This window comes from Homo sapiens, chromosome 10 (genome assembly GCF_000001405.40).
Source record: "Homo sapiens chromosome 10, GRCh38.p14 Primary Assembly".
Lineage (NCBI taxonomy): Eukaryota > Metazoa > Chordata > Mammalia > Primates > Hominidae > Homo > Homo sapiens.
The window spans coordinates 27,050,635-27,074,112 of NC_000010.11; the positions used below are offsets into that span (position 1 = coordinate 27,050,635).

Consider the following 23,478-nt stretch of genomic DNA (forward strand, 5'->3'; position numbering starts at 1 on the left):
TTTTATATCTCTTCTCAGTCACTGCTTCTCTCCCACTGTATTGCCATGTTGTTGTTTAAATAAAAGAAATTCATCTTTAAGAAAATAGGGAAAAAAACCCTAGCACTTATTACCTTTCATAAGGCAATTTCCTTTATGCTTATACTGGTTCACAAGGTCACACGGTATATGGCTAAATTAGTTTCCCAGTCCATATGTCACTTGGAAGACTGATAGACTTCTTAGGTTGATTAAGGAACAAAGATTTTGAGAATGTTTTCCTTAACTCTTGTTACTTAGATAGCAGAATAATATCTATTTCTAAACACAATTACATATTTAGGTAACACCATTTTATACATGAGCTCTTCATAAGCAGAAAATCAGAATGGATCAAATAATTGATAGAGAAAAAAACAAAGAGTAGCAGCAAGCAAACCTCTACCTCTTTTTGAAGTTGGACTTTTTCTTTCTCCAAAGCCTGGAACTCTACTTTTAACATGCCTATCTCATTTTTAAACCTTTGCATATCTTGCTGTAATTCTTCTTTTAGAGATACTTTTGATGTTCTGTCACCACGTGGTGGAGAAGACCTCACATTTTCTAATTCAGGTTCCATGCTTTTATAGTTATTAGCACTGCAATGATCATATAATGGCTTCTGGAACAAGTTCTGTATTGGTTTTGTTTTCTTGTAAGCGTCTGTACCAGCAGAAATACTATGCCTTTTTATGTGAAACATATGATTCATTTCTTTGGAGCAGATCAAATCAAAAGGTCTTTTTGGATCACTATACTGAGGCACACGTCTGATGTCTAATTTCCAGTTAGTGGTATTTCGGTTCATATTTTTTGTCTTATCAAACTCTTCTTTCATTACACCTGTAACTACTTCTGGGTTCCTTACTTTTTTATTTTCTGTATCATTATAAAAATTCTCATCTGTGTTAAAAACATGTTCAGTGTCTGGTTTGTTAACATTTTCATGGCCTAATTTATTTTCATTTAAATAAGGCTTAGAAGATGACTGGCAAGCATATTCTGGGGACCCAGAGTATGAAGGAAATGAAAAGCCATTTTCGAGACTGAGTACTTTTTGTTCAGGCAATGCCTGGAATAGTACAGAGACAGGAGAATCTTTTTCATCGCAATCAAGTATATTATTTGTCAAAGAAGAAGGTATTTCCTTTAAGTTTGTGCCTCCTTTAGAGTTATCATGTAGTGACTCTTCCCCAGGAGAAGCAGTAATTTTGTATTTTTCACAAGTTTCACCACAGCTCTGCTTTAACTCATTTGTGATGAGTTTTAAGTTATTTTTCCACTCTAATTTGCCTTGTTTGGTCCACATTTCTTCATCATTTTGCACACAAGGAAGTCCTGAATATACAGATACATCCTCTCTATCACACTCCTTATTCAGTTCTGGTTCTTGAGACATCTTTTGCAGACATGAAAGTGGACGATTAATTTGCTTGTTTTGTTTTTCAGATGTCTTTTCTGTCAGGGTGCATGTTTTTAAAATAACTTTATCCTTGAGTAATCAAGTACGGACAAAGAAAAATTAGGAAATAATTAAAATTCAACTGTTAAACTTAGTCTATGTTTAGTTACTCCCAAATCACTGGATTGTAACTAAGAAGTAAAAACTAATTTGCCTTAGCCTAAAATAGGAGAAAAACATGAACCAGCAAAGTTAAGTTTATCACTGTTCCTTTGGATTAAACTTAATTCATTATGTGTTAAATCTACCAAAAATAAATTAGCAGATGATTTGTAGCATTATAAAGGCATCCTCATTTTAAAAGATTTTACCTTACCATACCTCAAATACTGAGCCCCTACAGTGCATTTAAGTACTTTTTGTAAAGATTTCTAACTGGAGAGTAGGGAAAGTTTAAATTATTAGGAGCCAAAATAAACACCAATCAGAAAGAAAAGTTAACTCTTACATTTTAATTGAAATTATATACCATAATATGGTGTTATGCATCTGTATAAACTATATAAGACTTAAGTCTAATTCTTAAATATCCTAAGGTTCATTAATAGTGGATTTAAAAATTCTATAATATTTACTGATTTCCTAGACTGAAATAATCAGAAAGTTATTGTGTATATCCTAACAATGGAAAGATCCCATTCTGAAAGGAATGATTCTCTTAATAACTGGGTTGATTTTCTGACCTCATTCTTTCCCTGAATGTAGACACTGAAATCAACAGGGATCACAAGGCAGAATAAATCTTTAACCTTGGAATCAGTGACCAGCAATATAAGAATGTAAATCCTGAACCACTGGGAATGATTACTCCTTTAAGATGAATCCAACTCAGTGGCCATCAGTGTTAAAATGTTCATAATTTCTACTGCTTAATAATATGATTCAATATTTGATGTTACCATCTTTATCATATAAGGAAGTTATAAAAATGAAAGAGGAAACAATACTCAGGAAATTTCTGGCTTCAATTCCAAGGGTAAAGATTAACTATAACAAAAACAAAAACAAAAACAAAAGATTAGCTATAGGTTACTACACATTCTAAGAACATTTTAACTAGTCAAAACGTTTTTAATACTAAATATTAAATGATGATCTATTGATTCTAAAAGGCTAGTCTGAAAAGTAATTTCATTTGGACTATGTTACATCATTAAAGCAAAGAAAACAATATTAAACCAGAAATTTTTAAAAATATATAATACCTGTGGCTGGTTATTTTCACTCCCTTCCCTTTCTTGCTCTTCTTCTGATGCTACTTCTAAGTCATGTTCAGCTGAAAAAATCCAAATATTTAGTTTAATGAACTACTTAGAACAGTTAGGTAAAAGGTATAGTCTTTACAGAAATAGAAAATAATATTTATTTTATTTTATAAATCGAGAGGGTTTTCTTCTATTTGTTTATGAGACAGGGCCTTACTCTGTCGCCCTAGCTGGAGTGCAGTGGCGCAATCACAAAGTTTCAATGAAGCCTAATCTTTAGTGGAATATTTACTTCTCAGTAAGAAATACTTCTAAGTATCAACTTAATGAGGTATCTAATTAAAATTTCAACCATTATCTAAAACTTCAACAAACCACTTGGGGAAACTAGTAACACTAGACAATACCAGGTTCAACCCATACAAACATCTCAAATATTCACTCACAAATTCATTCACCCAACATAAATAAGCTAAACTGTCAGAAACAAAACAAAATTTTATGATACAGTAGGAATATATAAAGTAACATTGTATAATGTTCTCTATAACAGTATCTTTTTAACAAGGCACAAAGAGTGTTTTTCATTATTAATGAATTCCAAAATTACTGCTACTTTTTACATCTTTATCATTGTACATCACGCTCCTTACATCTGAAATGTTTTCTGCTATTTTGACAAATTTTTTTTCATCTTTTAAGACTAAGACAGCTATGTGAAGTCTTCCTCGATTAGAGCTATCTTCCCCCAGATAAACAGGTGTCTCCTTCCTTGGGGCTGCCTTAGTACCTTATCTTTGTACTGTATCTTTTCCATCTGAACTGTATATTATTTATTTATATGTTTATGCCCTTGCTCCCAGACGGTAGGGGACAATCTTTCAAGTTATCTTTGTATAAACAGTCTTTATCTATTTTACTCGATAATTATTTACTGAGTTCCTGCTAAGTTCTAAACACTGAGGTTTAAAGAATGTAAATAAAACCGGGTACGGTGGCTCACATCTGTAATCCCAGCACTTTGGGAGGTCGAGGTGGGTGGATCACTTGAGGCCAGGAGTTCCAGACCAGCCTGGCCAACATGATGAAATGCCCTGTCTACTAAAAATATAAAAATGAGCTGGGCGTGGTGGTGTGTGCCTGTGATCCCAGCTACTCGGGAGGCTGAGTCAGGAAAATCACTTGAACCCGGGAGGCGGAGGTTGCGGAGAGCCAAGATCGTGCTGCTGCACTCCACTGAGACTCCATCACACACACAAAAAAAGAATGTAAATAAAAGTGTCAAAGATGGCTTTGCTAGAGATCATGCCTGAGTTGAGACTTAAAAAGTGAGGTTAGCCAGACTAAAAGGGGTAAAGGGCAGGAAAGGGTAACAGCATGCAAGGCAGCAACAAGAGAGGGAAAGAAGCCTCAAATAGCGTTATATATTTGTCTAAAATACAAGCACCAGAGAAGAGAGCATCACCAGCAGTTGAGTAATCCCAGAGAAAAGGGCAGAAAGGGGAAAGGGCTAAAGATGGAGAGTTAGGCAGAAGTCAGATGATGAAAGCCTTATATGTAATCTTAAGATGTTTGAACATTTATGCTTTCAAGAGGGACTCAAGGTCCTATTTGCATTGGAGACAGATCACCCTAAATACTGTGGAGAGAATGAATTTCAGGGGCATATGAATAAATAAAGGGAGATTAATTAGAAGACAATATTGCAGAACAAGGATAATGCAGGCCTAAACTGAGGGAATGTTTCCAAAAATATTTAGGATATAGAATATCAGTACCCAATACAGAGTGAATTTTTATTAAATGAATAGATGTATATATCTGGGTCCCTGGAGAGCTAGACTCTATTCATTACCTTATAAAAGGTATTAAATGAGAAGTGAAACAATCTACAGGCACTGTTTAAGTTGTTTACTTCATACTTTTTCTGTTTCATGTCTTCCTGTGTTAAGGGATTTCATTTAGGTATTTTGTTTTAAAAGTCCTGCTTCTTGGATCTACTAAGCTCATGAAGAAATGAGAGCAAACAAGCATATATATGTATAGGTGAGTAACTTTAGATTTATAGCTTGCAGTCACTACTCTAGGGGATAACTGATCATCTTCTGTAAAATACAACATTAATTCTACAAGTAAGGGGGAAAAAGAAAACAAAACTATTGGGATAAAAAAATTATATGATTTATTACTGTAGACCAGATCACATGATTAAGGGCACCGAGTTAAACTGGTACATAAAGTAAAACACATTAGATGCAGTTAATCAACAGACTGGGTGTCCTAAAAGAATTATTAATAAAATTGAATTTCATATATCTTTTTTAAATGATAGAGCACTCCTTAAAACAAATATTCCTAGTGAACAACTATTCATTAAAACAAGGTGACAGACTATGTGTACACAGCTGGGGATACACTATAGAGCAAATTCTCAATGATTCCCACTAATACGGGGCAGTCCACTCTATAATATCTAAAGCCATAGAAATTATAAGAAATAATATTTGATTTGAATGGTGCTTTTTTGTTACATTACATGTAGTTATAACTAACACTTGTGAATTCAGAGCTGTAAAAATAAAGCATAAAAACCACATTGTGCTTGAGTAGGCAATCTTTAGATCTCTACCTAGTTTTCCATCCAGTCCCAAAACTCTAAATATAACCCTGCTACTGACTCTCAAGTTTATGCTCTATACTGGCCTAAACAAAATTACTGTCCCTCCTAATTCTCTTTGTGATTCATAGATTGTTTTTGTTAGAGGAAGACTACAAATGCCCTGCTAAAAGGTATTTTGTCCGGTTGTAGGTTACATAAGGAGAATAAACACAAAGTACTTTCGCTAAAAATGATTCTTTTTCTTCTTTCTTTTTTTGAGACGGAGTCTTGCTCTGTCGCCCAGGTTGGAGGGCAATGGTGTGATCTTGGCTCACTGCAACCTTCGCCTCCTAGGTTCAAGTGATTCTCCTGCCTCAGCCTCCTGAGCAGCTGGGATTACAGGCGCCCGCCACCACACCCAGCTAATTTTTGTATTTTCAGTAGAGATGGGGTTTCACCATGTGGGCCAGGCTGGTCTTGAACTCCTGACCTCAGATGATCCACCCGCCTTGGCCTCCCAAAGTGCTGGAATTACAGGTGTGACCCAGCCAAAAATAATTTTTTTTAAAGTTATAACTAGGCTGGGCAAGGTTACATGCCTGTAATCCCCACAATTTGGGGGGCTGAGGTGGGTGGATTACCTGAGGTCAGGAGTTCAAGACCAGCCTGACCAACATGGTGAAACCCTGTCTCTACTAAAAATACAAAATTAGCCAGGTATGATGGTGCATGCCTGTAATCCCAGCTACTTGGGAGGCTGAGGAAGGAGAATCGCTTGAACCCGGGAGGCAGAGGTTGTAGTGAGCTGAGATCATGCCATTGCACTCCAGCTTGGGCAGCAAGAACAAAATTCTGTCTCAAAAAATAAAATAAAAAATAAAAGTCATAACTATGATATTATGAAGCCAAGCAAAGGTACTCTAGGACTGAATTCTCTGTGCTTCTGTGTTACCTTCTTTGCTTTTTGTTTTCTGGTAGCTGTGATTCACAAAGGTCATGGAGAGTATTATTCTCTAATAGAAACTAAGCTCCAATAGTAATCTTTCCTTTAGCTGTTTGTCCCAGTTCTGCGGATGCTGACTGATTTTTGGTCACTGACTGTGATACAGATAGATATTTATCATTGATTTTCAAAGTCCCAGGTCTTTGGCAAGTCTTATTACTGAGGGTCAAACTAGTAGAGTCCCAATCTGAAAACTCTGAAAATAAAGTTTTCACTTATTAGAATGTAAATAATATAGGTTTGACTAACTTTCTTCATAGAAGAAGTCCCATGTCAACCTCTATGCTACAAACACACTACTCCTCCATGGTGAATTGTATTTTACATGTCCTTTACTTGCCATTTGCTCACAGAAGTTTAACTGACTGTCATCTCTCGGATTTTTTTCTGTTTTTATTTTTCAGTATTACTTATTTACTTTGATTCACTCAGCAATGTCTGTTACCTATTTTGTTTTCCATAAGAGATTTGTTTATTAATAATTAAGATTCTTCAGGGATATGAATTTTTTTATGAACAAACTTTATGTCTAACCATTTTAGGTTTAAATATGGATGACAGTATTGTGTGTGTGTGTTTGTGTGTGTGTTCTAAAGACAAAAACATTTAATAAATAAACTTTAAATAAAAACTTATTACAATGAAATGCTCTTTCCTCAACGTACCACTATGTTCAGAATTTACTTTTTAAGCCTTGGGTAAACATCAGAAATTTATAGACAAAATGATGGCCTTGGCCAGGCACAGTGGCTCACACCTGTAATCCCAGCACTTTGGGAGGCCAAGATGGGTGGATCACGAGGTCAAGAGATCGAGATCATCCTGGCCAACATGGTGAAACCCCATCTCTACTAAAAATACAAAAATTAGCTGGCCTTGTTGGCGCGCGCCTGTAGCCCTAGCTACTCAGGAGGCTGAGGCAGGAGAATCGCTTGAACCTAGGAGGCAGAGGCTGCAGTGAGCCGAGATCGTGCCACCGCACTCCAGCCGGGTGACAGAGCGAGACTCCATCTCAAAAAAAAAAAAAAAGAAAAAAGAAAGAAACAATGATGGCCTTAAGTGACCTAATTGTTCCCACGTGAAAATAAATCTAGGTGCACACTTGATCCAGAGAGTACACAGTGCCATGAAACAAGAAATGAGTATATAACAAAAATATTTTCCTTTTTTCTTTATAAACAAAATTGTTGGATTTAAACATTTTAAGACAAGCAAAAGAAAAAAGTAAAAACCATAGAAGTGAAACTTTAAAGGCCATTTCATCATCAAGGGACCATTTATTATTTGACATCTACAAACCATACATATGGTTTAAAACTGTGGTTCTAAATTTTGATTTAAGAATCCCTAGAATCCAATATCCATTCAAGGGTACAAGAGGTCACATAATGCATAATATATTTGACATTTTCACTCTCATTTTCTGAGAAGTGTACAGTAGACTTTTTCGAAGCTAGGATGTATCGTAACATCATAAGCTAATGGTTCATGGGTCATAGCTCTAAAGTCTATTCAAATGCGTGGCTGTACATGCATGTATTTTCTATTTTTCAGTTTTAATTTCTAATATAATACATATCAACAGCTACAAACCACTTAAAAATCACTTTTCTCCTCATTGGTAAGCATGATTTTCATTTCAAAAATGAACTCCACCATGATTTTTTTTTTTTTCAGACCAGTCTCACTCTATCGCCAGGCTGGAGTCCAGTGGCGCCATCTCGGCTCACTGCAACCTCCAACTCCCTGGTTCAAGCAATTCTCCTGCCTCAGCCTCCTGAGTAGCTGGGGTTACAGGCATGTGCCACCATGCCCAGCTAATTTTTGTATTTTTTTAGTAGAGACGGGGTTTCACCATCTTGGCCAGGATGGTCTCGATCTCCTGACCTCATGATCTGCCCGCCTCAGCCTCCCAAAGTGCAAGGATTATAGGCGTGAGGCACCGCGCCCAGCCCACAGTGATTTTTATGTTTTTTTGTTTGTTTGTTTTTTGTTTTTTTGTTTTTTTTTTCAGACGTTGTCTCGCTCTGTCACCCACACTGGAGTGCAGTGGTGCAATCTTGGCTCACTGCAAACTCCACCTCCCGGGTTCATGCCATTCTCCTGCCTCAGCCTCCTGAGTAGCTGGGACTACGGGAGCCTGCCACCACGCCTGGCTAATTTTTTGTATTTTTGGTAAAGATGGGGTTTCACCGTGTTAGCCGGGATGGTCTCGATCTCCTGACCTCGTGATCCACCTGCTTCAGCCTCCCAAAGTGCTGGGCTAACAGGTGTGAGCCACCATGTCTGGCCTGATTTTTATGTTTATTATTGTTTATCCGAATGAAGAGAGTTTAATTAAATGTACAGTAATAAAATGGAATACTATAAAGAACTTAAACCAGAGCTACTTGTGTCGATACGGGTAGATCTGAAAAATATAATGCTAGGCAAACAAAAGAAAGTTGAAGAATGATATGTACAATGTACAACCATTTATATAAAATTCTAGGACATGTAAACAAATTCTATGTATTATTTATAGACGTATACATACACAGGAAAATGTTTTAAAAGAGCATGGGAATGGGAACGATAGCGAATTCAGCGTGTTGGTTACCTCTATGCAATAATTTTTAATAGCATAAAAGGACCCCAAAGTCAAAAAGTTTCAGAATTGTTGTTTTAAAAGACTATGTCTACCAAATAGTAATTAAAAATAATTACTGTCCGGGCATGGTGGCTCATGCCTGTAATTCTAGCACTTTGGGAGGCTAAAGCGGGCGGATCACCTGAGATCAGGAGTTCGAGACCAGCCTGGCCAACATGGTGAAACCCTGTCTCTAAAAAAATACAAAAATTAGCCGGGCATGGTGGTGTGTGCCCGGGGAGCTTGAGGCAGGAGAATTGCTGGAACCCAGGAGGCGGAGGCTGCAGTGAGCCGAGATCATGCCACTGCACTCTAGCCTGGGCAACAGAGTGAGACTCTGTATCAAAACAAAAAACAAAAAACAAAAAGCCGGGCATGGTGGCTCATGCCTGTAATCCCAGAATTTTGGGAGGCCGAGGCGGGTGGATCACCCGAGATCAGGAGTTTGAGACCAGTCTGGCCAACATGGTGAAACCCCATCTCTACTTAAAATACAAAAATTTGCCAGGCGTAGTGATGCACACCTGTAATCCCAGCTATTTTTCAGGAGGCTGAGGCAGGAGAATCACTTGAACCTGGGAGGCGGAGGTTGCAGTGAGCCGAGATCACGCCACTGCATTCTAGTCTGGGTGACAGAGCAAGACTCGGTCTCAATTAAAAAAAAATTTTTTTAAATCCTTCCAACAAATTTGGAGAAAAAAAGAATTAGGAATAAGAAAACTGTGAGCATTTCAAATATTTCAAAAATTTTAACGTACTTCCTTCCAAGATTAAATATATATTGCAACATTTACCTGCTTTGGATGTTTGTACATCCTTCATTCCTCCTGCTTTATTTGGAACAGAATCTTTCATTTCAATGGTAGGCTGAATGGGTTTTGAAACAAAATGATTAATAAATAATGTATACTTTATACAATATGCACTTAATAATTCAAGATAAAAATATAAAACTTATTACCTTCAAGTGAAGATATCTCTCAGGAGACTCTAAAAACCAAAAGGGACATATAATCAATTATACATAAATATGACAAAGTCAATCATAAATTCATGCAGTGTTAGTATGACCAGAATCATCACGCTTGGTTTGAAAATGATTATGTTAATTTTTGGGATGTTTTTTATTTTGGTTAGGACAGCAACATGACAGAAGTATACTGGAGAAAAAAACAGGAATATAGGTTTAATAAAACATGCAGTTATGATTTGAATGTAAGATTATGTTCCAAGTGACTATAACTAAAATAGAAAAGTGCACATATACCAATGTGAGCATGCTGGTCGATGTGGAGAAAAGTAATCTTTAATTAGAGGAGCAAATCATGACCCTGAGAGGAGAAATGTCAAGGCTGATGGTAAAATGCGACAGCATATCTTTAATGCAACACATCAGAATCATTTATACCATTATACTACAAGTATTTATCATGTTCTTCAACTTGTCCTGTAATTTAGGAAGCACACAGTTATGATGCCACTTTACTTGGATATATAACTTATTTCTCATCAGAGAAAGTGTTCTGAATTGATCAGCTTGGATATACACTTGTAGAATAACAGTTAACAAAAATACGCATTTTTTTTCCATACCCATGTGGGCTACTGGCATGCCTACATTTCTTGTATCCTCTAGTTTAGCCATCTTAAAGTTTCTTGATCCACTCATGCAAGAAGGTATATAAAACACATCTAAGAAATAATACATAATAAGCTTTCAATATTGTAATATTTATCAAAAGGAAAAAATTTAATTGCCACAGAATTAGATATTAATAACATTTTATATTTCAAAATTAGTGCAGTTTTTTAAAATCAATGCAGTGTTTATTTAAAATAACAATTTTAGTATTCAAGGAATTATTAACTGTAATTTTTTCATTTCTAAAATGTTATCCTCTAAAGGATTTTATGAAACAGCTATCGTTATCAAAAAGCAACTTTAAGAAAAAAGCCAATGCTTCTATATTCAAATTAAACTCATTTGATTAATATCAATGCAACATCTATTTTTTTTTTTTTTTTTTGATACAGAGTCTCACTCTGTCACCCGGACTGTAGTGCAGTGGCAAAATCATGGCTCATTGCTCCCTGCAGCCTCAACCTCCCAGGCTCAAGCAATCCTCCTGCCTTAGCCTCCTGAACAGCCGAACTACAGGCCCATGCACCACCACGCCTAATTTTTGTATGTTTTTGTAGAGATGCAGTCTTGCCATGTTGCCCAGGCTGGTCTCAAACTCCTGGGCTCCAGCAACCCACCCACCTTGGCCTCCCAAAGTGCTGAGTGACAGGCAAACCACCAAGATCAGTCCAAAGCAACATATATCTTTGATGTCTGATAGTTATAGAAAGGAGATATGAATCACTGTAGTTTACCCCAATTCTAGCATGCCCTCCTGCTTGCAATAATCTCTGGAGCAGAAATGATCTAATCGTCTGTTTGAGTGTAAATGCAATGAATCCATCTGAAATGAGTTCTCTCAAGTTTCCTCATCGTTAACTCCAAGATGACTTAGCTAACTTCTTTCTTTCTTCTCTTTCCCCACTCACGATCTCTCTTCTTTTGCAAAAGTAATCTCCAGATCTGTGGTCTTGATTCTTCCCATTCTATATTCTTTTTATGGAACATTCTCAGCACTTCTTTCCTCTTCATTTAACAATAGTTATCTTATATCTACAATTTCTATTTCTCCATCTCTTTGTTTCTTCTCCTCTGGAAGAAACATGCTCAGAAATAAAAGAAAAATAATGCTTTATTCTGATCCTGTTATGCCTTGAATTATTGTCCAATGACGCTTCTTTCAGATTTCTCAAAAAGGAAGTCTATACCCTTGTTACTCAGAGTGTGGTCCAAGGACCAGAAGCATCAGCATTATGTGGGAACTTACTAGAAATGCAGAACCCCAGGCCTGCTCAATCAAAATGTACATTTTAAACAAGATCCCCAGCTGATTTATTAAATTTTAAGAAGCTCTGGTCCATACTTAGTTTGCTTCCACATTCTTTTATGTTAGATTGCCCTCTTGGAATCTGGTGTCAAGCTCCTCCCTACTATGTCCCCCAAACTGAAATTGTATTGCAAGTCATAAAGTTGCTAGTGGGCTTTTAATCATAGTATGGCTTCCTTGATCTCTCCATAACCAACCCTACTCTCTTCTTTCCAATTCTTTTCTTTTGGCCTTTGAGATACTATCCTATGAAGTAACACTTTCTTTCTTTCTTTTTTTTTTTTTTTGAGACAGAATCTTGCTCTGTTGCCCAGGCTGGAGTGCAGTGGCACAATCTCGGCTCACTGCAACTTCCGTCTCCTGGGTTCAAGTGATTCTCATACTTGAGCCTCCCAAGTAGCTAGGATTACAGGCATATGCCACCATGCCTGGCTAATGTTTGTATTTTTAGTAGAGACGGGGTTTCACCATGTTGGCCAGGCTGATCTCGAACTCCTGACCTCAGGTGATCTACCTTCCAAAGTGCTGGGATTACAGGCGTGAGCCACCGTGCCCAGCCTGATGTAACATTTTCTATGACATTAAATTCTAGATATGTATGGCTGACCACATATGCCTGTATTCATCTACAGCAGATGAAATGTGCCATAGATGGTCCAGTACCTCCATCCTTGCCTTCCCAACAGTGAGGTGGATGGGAAGAGTGGGTAAATTTTGCTCTATTTCTCTGACAAGTTTTGGTACTGGAAGCTCATTTTAAACTCTTCCTACCTTTCTAATACCCTGCTTTTCCATTTTCTAAAGAATTATTTTATTTTATTTTTTAATTTTTATTTTTTTGAGATGAAGTCTTGCTCTGTTGCCCAGGATGGAGTGCAGTGACGTGATCTCAGCTCACTGCCACCTCCACCTCCCAGGTTCAAACAAATCTCTTGCCTCAGCCTCCCAAGTAGCTGGAATTACAGGTGCGTGCCACCACACCCAGCTAATTTTTGTATTTTTAGTAGAGACAGGGTTTCACCATGTTGGCCAGGCTGGTCTCGGACTCCTGACCTCAAGTGATCTGCCCGCCTCGGCCTCCCAAAGTGTTGGGATTACAGGCATAAGCCACGCGCCTGGCCCTAGAATTATTTTATTTTACCACTCTCCATTACATACACTTGCTTCTTTGCCCTTCATTCACTCCCTGTACTCTCTGCCTTCCTCACTCTCATGTCCTCTTTTACTCCTCTCCTCTTCCTTATTTCCTGGCTCCCTCAGGTCTTAATGTATTTTGAAATGGATCTAATAATTCAGTTCCCTTAGTGGCACTAGCAATTTAATCTGTTGCTGACACCTAAGATATACAACTTATCACAATTTTACCTCTCTTTATTCTTACTATGCATTTAATAGGTGATTTTCTTCGGCTATTAGAATATATCAACAGTCATGTTTTTAAATAAACACTCTGTCCAATGGCTTTTTAAAAATGAAATATAGCTCTTACCTTCTGCTTGTTCATTTCCTATATTTTTTTCTTTTCCGTCTGCAGCCCCAGCTAAAGGATCAACATACTTCTGTGGAAAATTCTCAGAGATACTCTGTTAAAATTAGTATCAATAATGAGTTTCAATTTTACAAAAAGAATGAATTGCTAAAGATTTTCTAATCACTTTCAAATATAATATGAATTTCCTATTTTAAAAGCAATTAGGCTTAAAAATAAGATAAGCATGTATTGAAAACCAAAACATTTCAATAAAGAACCTCATATATGCTCACTAGATTAAGCTTATCTTTTCATCTTCAGATGGCTATTGACTCTGCAAACCAAACATGGAAGTCCCAAGGACACATATTAACAGACAAAATATTAACTTACGCGCACAGTTCAACAAGGAACTAATATCAAAAGACCTAACTCTACTTTGTATTCCCCACCAAAAATAAGAGGGGAGCTTCTCTGAACTTATTCCGGTTCGGGGGATGCCTGATTAAGAGGGAAAAAAAAGTGTATTTTAAAAAATAGAATACACTTGCTATAGTACAGCGTTAAACATTTAAAATATTTCTAATTATAGAAATATTTAGTGTTAAGATATGTGGCATGATAAGAAACTCTGGAGTATGCCCTGTTAAGTATAAATAGAACACTGCAGAAGCTGCTTCATTTAAGTAAACAATGGCTTAGAAAAATCTAAATACTTTTTGATACAACTTTTACTGATAGGAAAATGGTTGACTAAAATGAGAAAGCAGTAAGAAAAATTTTGCTTTATGTTATGTCTAAAGAAAAGCAAGGAAATACAAGATACAGAATACAAACTCTCCCAATTAAGAAATAATTTCAAAAAAGTATAGCAAGCCTTCATAAAAATAGAAGAATAAGAACATTTATGTATTAAGCATGTGAAATGTGCCAGGCACTTATTTGCACATTTTCTTTTCTATGCCCTATAATAATAAAAATGATGGTGATGATGGTTACCCCGCTTCCTGCTTCTTGGTCATTCTAAGATGTTAAAAGCAAAATGATGAACAGATTTGAAGATTGTGCCCTCTGCCCAGAATGCCCTCCTTCTAGCCTTTCGGATGGCTGCTCCTTCTCTTCCTTTAGTTGGCAATCTAAGGTCACACTCAGAAAGATCTTCTCTGACTACAGAATTTCACTCCCATTTTGATCCCCATCCTAACTACAAACTCCCTCAATTTTCTCTAACCTAATACTTTGTTTTCTTCATATGAAGCACTTATAGTGACTTATAAGTGTTTGTGGTTTACTTGTTTTTCAGTTCCTACTAGTAGAGCATAAGCCCCCACCTTGTATATGCGGTGTCTAACAGCCTAGCACATGGTTGGTACTCAATAAACAGAAATTTATTCAAGTTCAAACATTTAAAATCTCATTGGGAAGGTCTCAAGCGTCAATTCACTATATTCCTATAGGATATCTCCAGTAACTGTCTACTGAAACTTATACCCCAAATTAGAAATCCACATTCCTGTTCCAACTTTCCCTTTCTTTTCTTGACACTACTGCCTTCACGTTTACAAAAAGTACCCTGAATATTTATTGTCACTGGAAATGATTTTGAAAATCATTTCTACTTATTACACTACCACTCAACCAAATTGTTATTATTTTCCATATTCTTCTTTCTCCTGAAATGTTCCCTGCAGATCTATACAAATATATATTAATACTTTAAAGTACCAGGCATTATCTTTTCAAGTTCTAAGTTGTCAAAAAACAAAAAAAAAAAACAAAAAAAACTACATTCCAAACTGTTTCTCTCTGAATCTCATTAGGCCGTTTACTCATCCATACATAACACAGAATCATACACTTGGCCATAGGCTAACCTGAAATAATTCTTTCTTTTTTTTTTTTTTTTTTTTTTTTTGAGATGCAGTCTTGCTCTGTTGCCAGGATGGAGTGCAGCAGCGCGATCTCAGCTCACTACAACCTCTGCCTCCCGGGTTCAAGCGATTCCCCTGCCTCAGCCTCCCGAGTAGTGACTACAGGCACACGCCACCACACCCAACTAATTTTTTGTATTTTTGTAGAGATGGGACTTCACCATGTTGGCCAGGATGGTCTCCATATCCTGACCTCATGATCCGCCAGCCTCGGCCTCCCAAAGTGCTGGGATTACAGGCATGAGCCACCTTGCCTGGCCGACCTGAAATAATTCTTTAGTTTTTAGATAAACTTAACTTCAGAACCCATACTGATTCCATGTGACTTCTAAGCCTTTTCTTTTCTTTTTTTTTTTGCACTATCCTTCACTGGATTCTTAAATGAATCCTGCAAATTAGCAGAATTATACTATGCAGCAGTAATATACTTAGCACATACTTTATTAATTATGAACTGAAAAATATAAGAAAGTAGTTCCTTATGGATGTATGCAGAGGTAAAAAAGTCAAGTCAAAGCATCTCTTTATGTTTTAACATCACTCAATGCTTATATTTTAAAATAATAGTAACAACCATAGAAAGTACCTCAGAATCCCAAGGTGATTCTATATCTTCCTCTTGTCCTAATCCTAATGCGGACATCATATCTATCAAATGTGATACACAGATATATTCATGAGAACATTTACTATTGTAAATTTTAAATACATAATTAAATACATATACAAGTCTATCTCCATTCATGAATATTTCAATAAAATAAAAATAATAGCAAAAAAAGAATTTCACAAGGTTGATGCAGTCTCAGGAAAAAATTGGTAATATGAAGAAAGACAGCAAAAGAAAAATATTTTTAAAATGAATATAATATTTGGGTCTGCATATGTTAATTGGTTGTCTTAGAATAGATTTTTTTTTTTTTTTGAGACAGAGTCTTGCTCTGATGCCCAGGCTGGAGTGCAGTGGCGCAATCTCAGCCCACTGCAACTTCTGTCTCCCAGGTTCAAGCAATTCTCTGCCTCAGCCTCCCGAGTACCTGGGATTATAGGCACGCACCACCACACCCAGCTAATGTTTGTATTTTTAGTAGAGATGGGGTTTCATCATGTTGGCTAGGCTGGTCTCGAACTCCTGACCTCAGGTGATCCACCTGCCTCAGCCTCCCAAAGTGCTGGGATCACAGGTGTGAGCCACATCTGGACCCCAGAATAGAACTTAAGGATAGAAAAATATTCAGAGATATCCACTAACTTACCACTTCTATTATTTTTGTGCACTTCATCAACATAAGTCAAATTGTCATTATTTGTTTGCTCTAGTGGAGCACTTTCAATAATATCAATACCATTTTCTTTTTTTGCAATGCCTGGCTTTGTTGGTTCTTCCTATTAAAAACAAAAACAAACAAACAAAAAACTTCAGAAAACACTGTATTTATTCACTTACCCATTCAATCACTGTATTAGTCCGTACTTGCACTACCATAAAGAAATACCTGGTCATCCAAGATGGGGGCATAGTTTTTTTTTTTTAAAGAAACACCTGACGGGGTAATTTATGAAGAAAAGAGGTTTCACTGGCTCATGGTTTTGCAGGCTGTATAGGAGGCATAGCAGCTTCTGCTTCTGGGGAGGCCTCGGGAAGCTTATAATCACAGCAGAAGGCAAAGAGGGGGCAGGTGTCTCACATGGCAGAGCCAGGGCAAGAGAGCAAGGTGGGGAGGTGCTGCACACTTTTAAAGAAGCAGATCCCATGAGAACTCACTTGCTATCTCAAGGACAGGACCAATGGGGATGGTGCTAAACCATTCACTAGAAATCTGCCCCTGTGATCCAATCAACTCCCACCAGGTCCCACCTCCAACACTGGGGATTACATTTCAATATGAGATTTGGGGCAGGACACACTTCCAAACTATACCAGTCAGTAAGACAATAAGCACTTATGTGTCTATCACATCATAGGCACTATCCTGGGAAAAACTAAAAATATAAACAGAAGACAGATTCTGTCCTATATTCATCAAGTGCGGGTAGAGATAAATAAAACCAAGTAAGAACAGAAAAGTATAATTCACTAGTTCTACAACCGAGGTGAATAAAGGACAGTAAGGGCACAAAAGAGAACAGTAAGTTCCACCTGGGAAGCTCAGGAAATGATGCAAAGATAGGGCCATACTATGAGGTAGACCCAGTGCAGTGATATGGTTTGGCTCTGTGTCCCCACCCAAATCTCATCTTGAATTGTAATCCTCATGTGTCAAGGGAGACACCAGAGGAGATAACTGGATCATGCGGTGGTTTCCCCCATGCTGTTCTCATGATAGTGAGTGAATTCTCATGAGATCTGATGGTTTTACAAGTGTTTGGTAGTTCCTCATACATTAATTCACCTCCTACGGCCTTGTGAAGAAGGTGCCTGCTTCCCTTTTGCCTTCCACCATGATTGTAAGTTTCCTGAGGCCTCCCCAGCCATGAGGAACTGAGAGTCAATTAAACCTCTTTCTGTTATACATTACCCAGTCTGGGGTATTTCTTTTTAGCAATGTGACAACAGAGTAATACATGCAGAGTGGGAATGTAAAAGGTTTCTAGACAGGGCACCATAAACAAAAGGATGAGGCATGAAACAACACGACAAATGAGGGTACCAAAGTAATGTGGTAAAACTGGAACACAGTCAGAGGGAACAGGATGAGGAGAAAAAACAGAAAAATCAGGCCAAACCACCAAGGACCTGTGTTATGCTAGAATGTGAACTTTCCCTTTCATGTACTGGGGATCCAGTCAGTAAGCAGGTGAGTTAGAGCATCACAGATACATTTCAGAAAGGTCACCCTGGCAGCAATGTAAACATAGATAAACATGGGGGTTGGGGGAGTGGTCAGGACAAAAATAGAGAAGATTATTCCAAAATTACAGGTCAGAAAGTGAACTGTCACATTTTCTTTGGGCATCCTAAAAAAAAAAAAAAAGTGAATTGCAATAATAAGATATGAGAAACGAGGTCGGGCGCAGCGCGGTGGCTCACACCTGTAATCCCAGCACTTTGGGAGGCCAAGAAGTGGGCGGATCATGATGTCAGGAGTTCGAGACCAGCCTGGCCAATATGATGGAACCCTGTCTCTACTAAAAACACAAAAATTAGCTGGGTGTGGTGGCACATGCCCTGTAATCCTGGCTACTCGGGAGGCTGATGCAGGAGAATTGCTTAAACCCAGGAGGCAGAGCTTGCGGTGAACAGAGGTGACGCCATTGCGCTCTGACCTGGGCAACAGAGTGAGACGTCGTCTCAAAAAAAAAAAAAAAAAAAAAAAAAAAAGGATATGAGAAATGATAAGCAGGTAGAAAATAAAGAACTTGGTGAGTGACTGGATTCGTAATTTGAGGGAAAACTGGAGTGCAAGATTTCTCCTGCTTCAATGTTTCAGTGCTACTTCCTAGGTGTTATTTACTAGGATGGGGAAACCAGAGGACTGAGTAAATTACAAAGAATCAGGAAAGCGTCAGGAACAATGTCCACAGTTTGGGACATATTAATATAAAATTTGAGGCACCCAGGGAACTTAGGTTTTTGGTGGTTTTTTTTTCAGAGACAAGGTTTCACTGTGTTGCCCAGGCTGGTCACCAACCCCTGAGCTCAAGTGATCCACCAGCCTTCGCCTTCCCAAGTGCTGGAATTACAGGCGTGAGCCACTGGACCCCGCCTACCCAGGGGATTTAGAAGACAGATTTGGATAAATACGTTTAGAGTAGAAGTAGATGACCTCAGGAAAAGCATATGGTCTTAAGTAGATAAATATTTGTAAAATACACTAAACTGGTAGAATTAAATAATATGAACCTACACAGAACTCTGAAATTTTGAAAATGAAAAGACAAAGAGGGAAAAAAACATGGGATTTAAGGTTTCAATTACATATTTCAACATTTGAGGATGGGTGCAGTGGGCCCCACCTGCAATCTTAGCACTTTGGGAGGTCAAGGTTGGAGGATCACTTAAGCCCAGTGGTTCAAAACCAGCCTGGATAATATAGCGAGACCCCATCTCTACAAAAAATAAATAAATAGCTAGGCATGGTGGTGCATGCCCATGGTCCCAGCTACTTGGGAAGCTGAAGCCAGACCCAGAAGATTTAAGCTTCAGTGAGCCTTGATCATGCCACTGCACTCCAGCCTGGGTAACAGAGACTCTGTATTTAAAAAAAAAAAAAAAAAAAAAGGCCAGGCGTGGTGGCTCATGCCTGTAATCCCAGCACTTTGGGAGGCTGAGGTGGGCGGATCACTTGAGGCCAGGTGTTCAAGACCAGCCAACATAGCAAAACCCCATCTCTACTAAAAATACAAAAATTAGCCATGTTTGGTAGTACACACTTGTAGTCCCAGCTACTCAGAATGCAGAGGCACAAGAACTGCTTGAACCCAGGAAGCAGAGGTTGCAACAAGCTGAGATCCCGCCACTGCACTCCAGCCTAGGCGACAGAGCAAGACTCCGTCTCAAAAAACAAAAGAAAAGAAAGCTATGATTATCCAAGTTGAAGATTTAAAAGTCTTCAAATATATCTATGATTATCAAGCAAGACCAGTATTCACACACAGAAAAGGACTAAAAAATCAAGTCAACAGGATTCTGAGTTTTAGAGATGAATGAATTTATGAGCAAGGTTTAACAACTATGAATACTAAAGTTAACAAAGCTTCCTGACGAGAATATAAAATGTCCTCATTGCTGGAGGTACTTTTAAAAGTAAAAAATCATCTTCTAGAGATTTTTTTTTTTTTTGAGATGGAGTCTCGCCCTGTCGCCCAGAATGGAGTACAATGGCACGATCTTGGCTCACTGCAACCTCCACCTCCTGGGTTCAAGCAATTCTCTTGACTCAGCCCCCTGAGTAGCTGGGATTATAGGCACGTGCCACCACGCCCGGCTAATTTTTTGTATCTTTAGTAGAGACAGGGTTTCACCATATTGGCCAGGCTGGTCTCGAACTCCTGACCTCATAATCTGCCCGCCTTGGCCTCCCAAAGTGCTGGGATTGCAGGTGTGAACCACCATGTCCAGCCTAGAGATAATTTTGTAAACTCCCTTGGCAATCTTTCCTTCCTTATGATTCTATAATAGGTAGTTTATTTTAGAAAACAATAATAAATTTTGACCGCTTTCATTTGGTGTATGCGTATGTGTCCATTACATACAGATATTAATTATTAGCACAAGATAAATCAGAATATTGCAGAAATAAACAATTGCTACATTCATTTTTTTTTTTTTTTTTTTTTTTTGAGACAGAGTCTCGCTTTGTCGCCCAGGCTGGAGTGCAGTGGCGCGATCTCGGCTCACTGCAAGCTCTGCCTCCCAGGTTCACGCCATTCTCCTGCCTCAGCCTCCCGAGGAGCTGGGACTACAGGCGCCCGCCACCAAGCCCGGCTAATTTTTTGTATTTTTTTTTTTTTTAGTAGGGACGGGGTTTCACCGTGTTGGCCAGGATGGTCTCGATCTCCTGACCTCGTGATCCGCCCGCCTCGGCTTGCCAAAGTGCTGGGATTACAGGCATGAGCCACCACACCCGGCCGGGACTACATTCATTTCTCTAACAATGCTTATACTAAAATTAATTTTCCCTAATTTTTTTCCCAAGATGACAGATGGGAGGCACTGTGACCAAGACTCTCCCTCTTGGAAAGGCAAAATAGTGTGTAGGGATTTGCGCTGCAAACTTTTTTCCAAGAAGCAACACAGGACCTTAACAGAAAAACTTAAAGAAACCAGAGACCCTGTGAAAGAACAGGCGGGCAGCAGTGTACACGATGAACCAGGTAGAAAATCGTGAGCCTCTAGAGTGTGAACGGGAGAGATGGTCCCTGGAACACACTTCCACTGGGAAGCCCGGCAATCCAGGCCACGGGGAAGCCCTAACTCCCCCCGCGCTGGAGCTGACTGAGTGAGCAGTGGGGGCACACAAGAAAAAGCGGCATCCCCATATACATTGCATGCATTCCCTGACTCCAGGAGGGACAGAGGGAAGCCATTCTTGATCCTACCTCACAGGCGTCCTGCCGGAAGTCAGCCAGCTGACCCAGGCTGCCATCACAGGTGGAGAGAAGCTCCCAAATGAGAGCTGCCATATCATCTTGAGTGGGGATAACCCCATCGGCCAGAACCACAGGGTGAACAAGAAGTGTGCCCAGGCTGCAGGAGCTGGATGCCCCTTGTTCCACAGGCGGATCAGGAGGGGCATGGCTTGAAAGTGCGGTTTCTGTCCCTCAGGAAGGCTTATGGCCTGGGACAATTTTGAGTTCCAAGCACAAGCTGACTGGAATCCAGCTTGCTGCTGCCAGCAGAACCCTATAGGCGTGAGACCTGCCTTGCCAAGCCCGTGCTGCATGAGACATACTGTTGCCTGATATCCCCAGCTCCTTCTGTGGATTCTTTTGTGCAGCAGAGGCAGCTGAGCTTCTCCCTGGAACACTACTCTAGCAGCCAGGGAACTGCCCTCTGATCCCCAATGGGGCCGCTCCACTGCTTGCACCCACATGTGGGGAGCCAGAGTGTGGACTGGCCTCACCCAGCCCCCACCCGGCTTTGCCCTCCACCTGCCATGGTAGCATAACACAATGGACAGGGACTTTTGGGAGATCCATGGCCCCAACCATTGTCTGAGACTCCAGAGTATTTCCCTTGGGTAACCTAAGGCAATCAAATCCCACCACTACCACTGCAACTGGCGCTCTTTTGCAAGCGCCACCTCCTGGCTAAAACTCAACAAGCACAGCCCATCACAACGTCTGCAAGCACAATGACACAGCACCAAGGAAGTAGGAAACTTCTGTGCATCTTCAGTTAATCACCACTGCCTGCATCTTTCTGGCTAACCAGGAGGTCCTGCAACTGTCTATGTGCCCAGCACATTAATACTACAGCTGGCATTTGAAAAAACACACAAAGGCTATTTGTAATGCAGGAAATCTCACAGAGTCTACATCATTCCCCTTCCCACCCTATCAGAGCAGGTGCTGGTACCCGCTGCTGGGAGACTCGAGGACAGGTCATCTCACTGGATCCCTTGCAGACATTCCCCAGCACCACCCTGGAGTATGGCAGCCCACTGGGTGGCTAGACCCAGAGGAGCAGCAGGATTCACAGCAGCCAGGTTCTCAGGGGCTGCTACTCCCAGGGGAAGGAATGCACCACATTGAGAGGGCACCCCATGGGAAAAAAAGAAACCAGACTGCAGGCCTTCCGCTTGTGGGAAGTTTCCTTCAGCAGAGGGACAGGTGCAGTGCTGGGCTCAGTGGAGAAAATCTAAGGCTTTCCCTTAACAGGTAGCCCTGGGGCATGTGAAGGGTCTTGGAGAAGAGAACTTCTCCCTCTTGCCCACCACTGCAGACACAGCTGGGGCTTTTCCCACGACAGCATGATGTGCGTGCATCTGTAGACAGCCTTCCTGAAGCACTTCAGGGTGACTGCATCCCACAGGACTGCCCTCCACGTTCAGGCTTGCATGAGGACCACAATCCCTCTCTATATGGAACATCAGTATTCCTGAAGATTAAAAAAGGTGCCTGTCTGATCTGATTAGCTGGAACACCTGGTCAAGAGTGTGACTGGGAGGCAGACTGCTTTCCTGTGGCTCCCTCCCTTCCCCCTGAAAACACTTTAGTGCATATCACTGAGAGCTCCCCCTGCCACATTTGTCAAGGCCAAACTTGGGGTACTGCATTTATCCACCTGCTTTAGCTGCAACCAGTTTTTACCCATGGGCTCCTTCAGCCTGAGGCCTGAAATGTTCAATCCAGTAAATAAAATACTGGGGAAAAAAATGTTTTAGGAAACAGAGTAGGCATCTGAATTTTTAAGTGCACAACACTGGAGAATGAGATAAGATTCGTGAGACTTCTGCCATTCCAGTCCCACAGGAAACAGTAAACCTGCTCACAGACCCAGTACATCGTTATTACTACCAACATCTGAGAAAATCATCACACAAAGATTCTCTGTAACGAAGGAGCTCACTACTACAAGGTCTTCACTACTGAAAGCACCCAGAGCTGAAGCTAGGTGACAATAAACTATAGACATTCAAGTCACATCCTCAAGGGGGGAAAAATAAATAAAAAAAAACCCAGTCAAATCAAAAATAAATTCAAAAATAATTACAAGAAATAGTCCACCCAAATTAGAAGGAACCAGAAAAATAATTCTGGTAATATG

At 39.5% G+C, this 23,478-nt stretch overlaps 1 protein-coding gene across 19 annotated transcripts in view, besides 1 other annotated feature; it reads right to left on the minus strand.

Moving 5' to 3' along the window:
- ANKRD26 (ankyrin repeat domain containing 26) overlaps window positions 1-23,478 on the minus strand; it is a 152,913-nt gene that overhangs the window by 103,053 nt on the left and 26,382 nt on the right. For 12 of the 19 annotated variants that reach the window (XM_047424821.1, XM_017015928.2, XM_047424822.1 and 9 more), the window contains exons 10-17: window positions 16,523-16,652; window positions 15,853-15,914; window positions 13,354-13,447; window positions 10,510-10,608; window positions 9,878-9,906; window positions 9,711-9,783; window positions 2,686-2,756; window positions 425-1,510 (exon numbers count right to left, since the gene is read on the minus strand). In XM_047424821.1, coding sequence (XP_047280777.1) covers window positions 425-1,510; window positions 2,686-2,756; window positions 9,711-9,783; window positions 9,878-9,906; window positions 10,510-10,608; window positions 13,354-13,447; window positions 15,853-15,914; window positions 16,523-16,652 — 1,644 coding nt within the window. Of the gene's footprint in view, window positions 1-424; window positions 1,511-2,685; window positions 2,757-9,710; window positions 9,784-9,877; window positions 9,907-10,183; window positions 10,197-10,509; window positions 10,609-13,353; window positions 13,448-15,852; window positions 15,915-16,522; window positions 16,653-23,478 lie in introns of all 19 variants that reach the window. The other 7 variants (XM_047424830.1, XM_047424828.1, NM_001256053.2 and 4 more) reach the window with 3 other exon arrangements.
- Window positions 21,886-22,419: an enhancer, noted in NCBI's record as "H3K27ac-H3K4me1 hESC enhancer chr10:27361449-27361982 (GRCh37/hg19 assembly coordinates)". NCBI's record gives its function as "activates a minimal SCP1, AML or CMV promoter by ChIP-STARR-seq in primed H9 embryonic stem cells {active_cell/tissue: H9 hESC(primed)}" and the evidence as "EXISTENCE:reporter gene assay evidence [ECO:0000049][PMID:30033119]".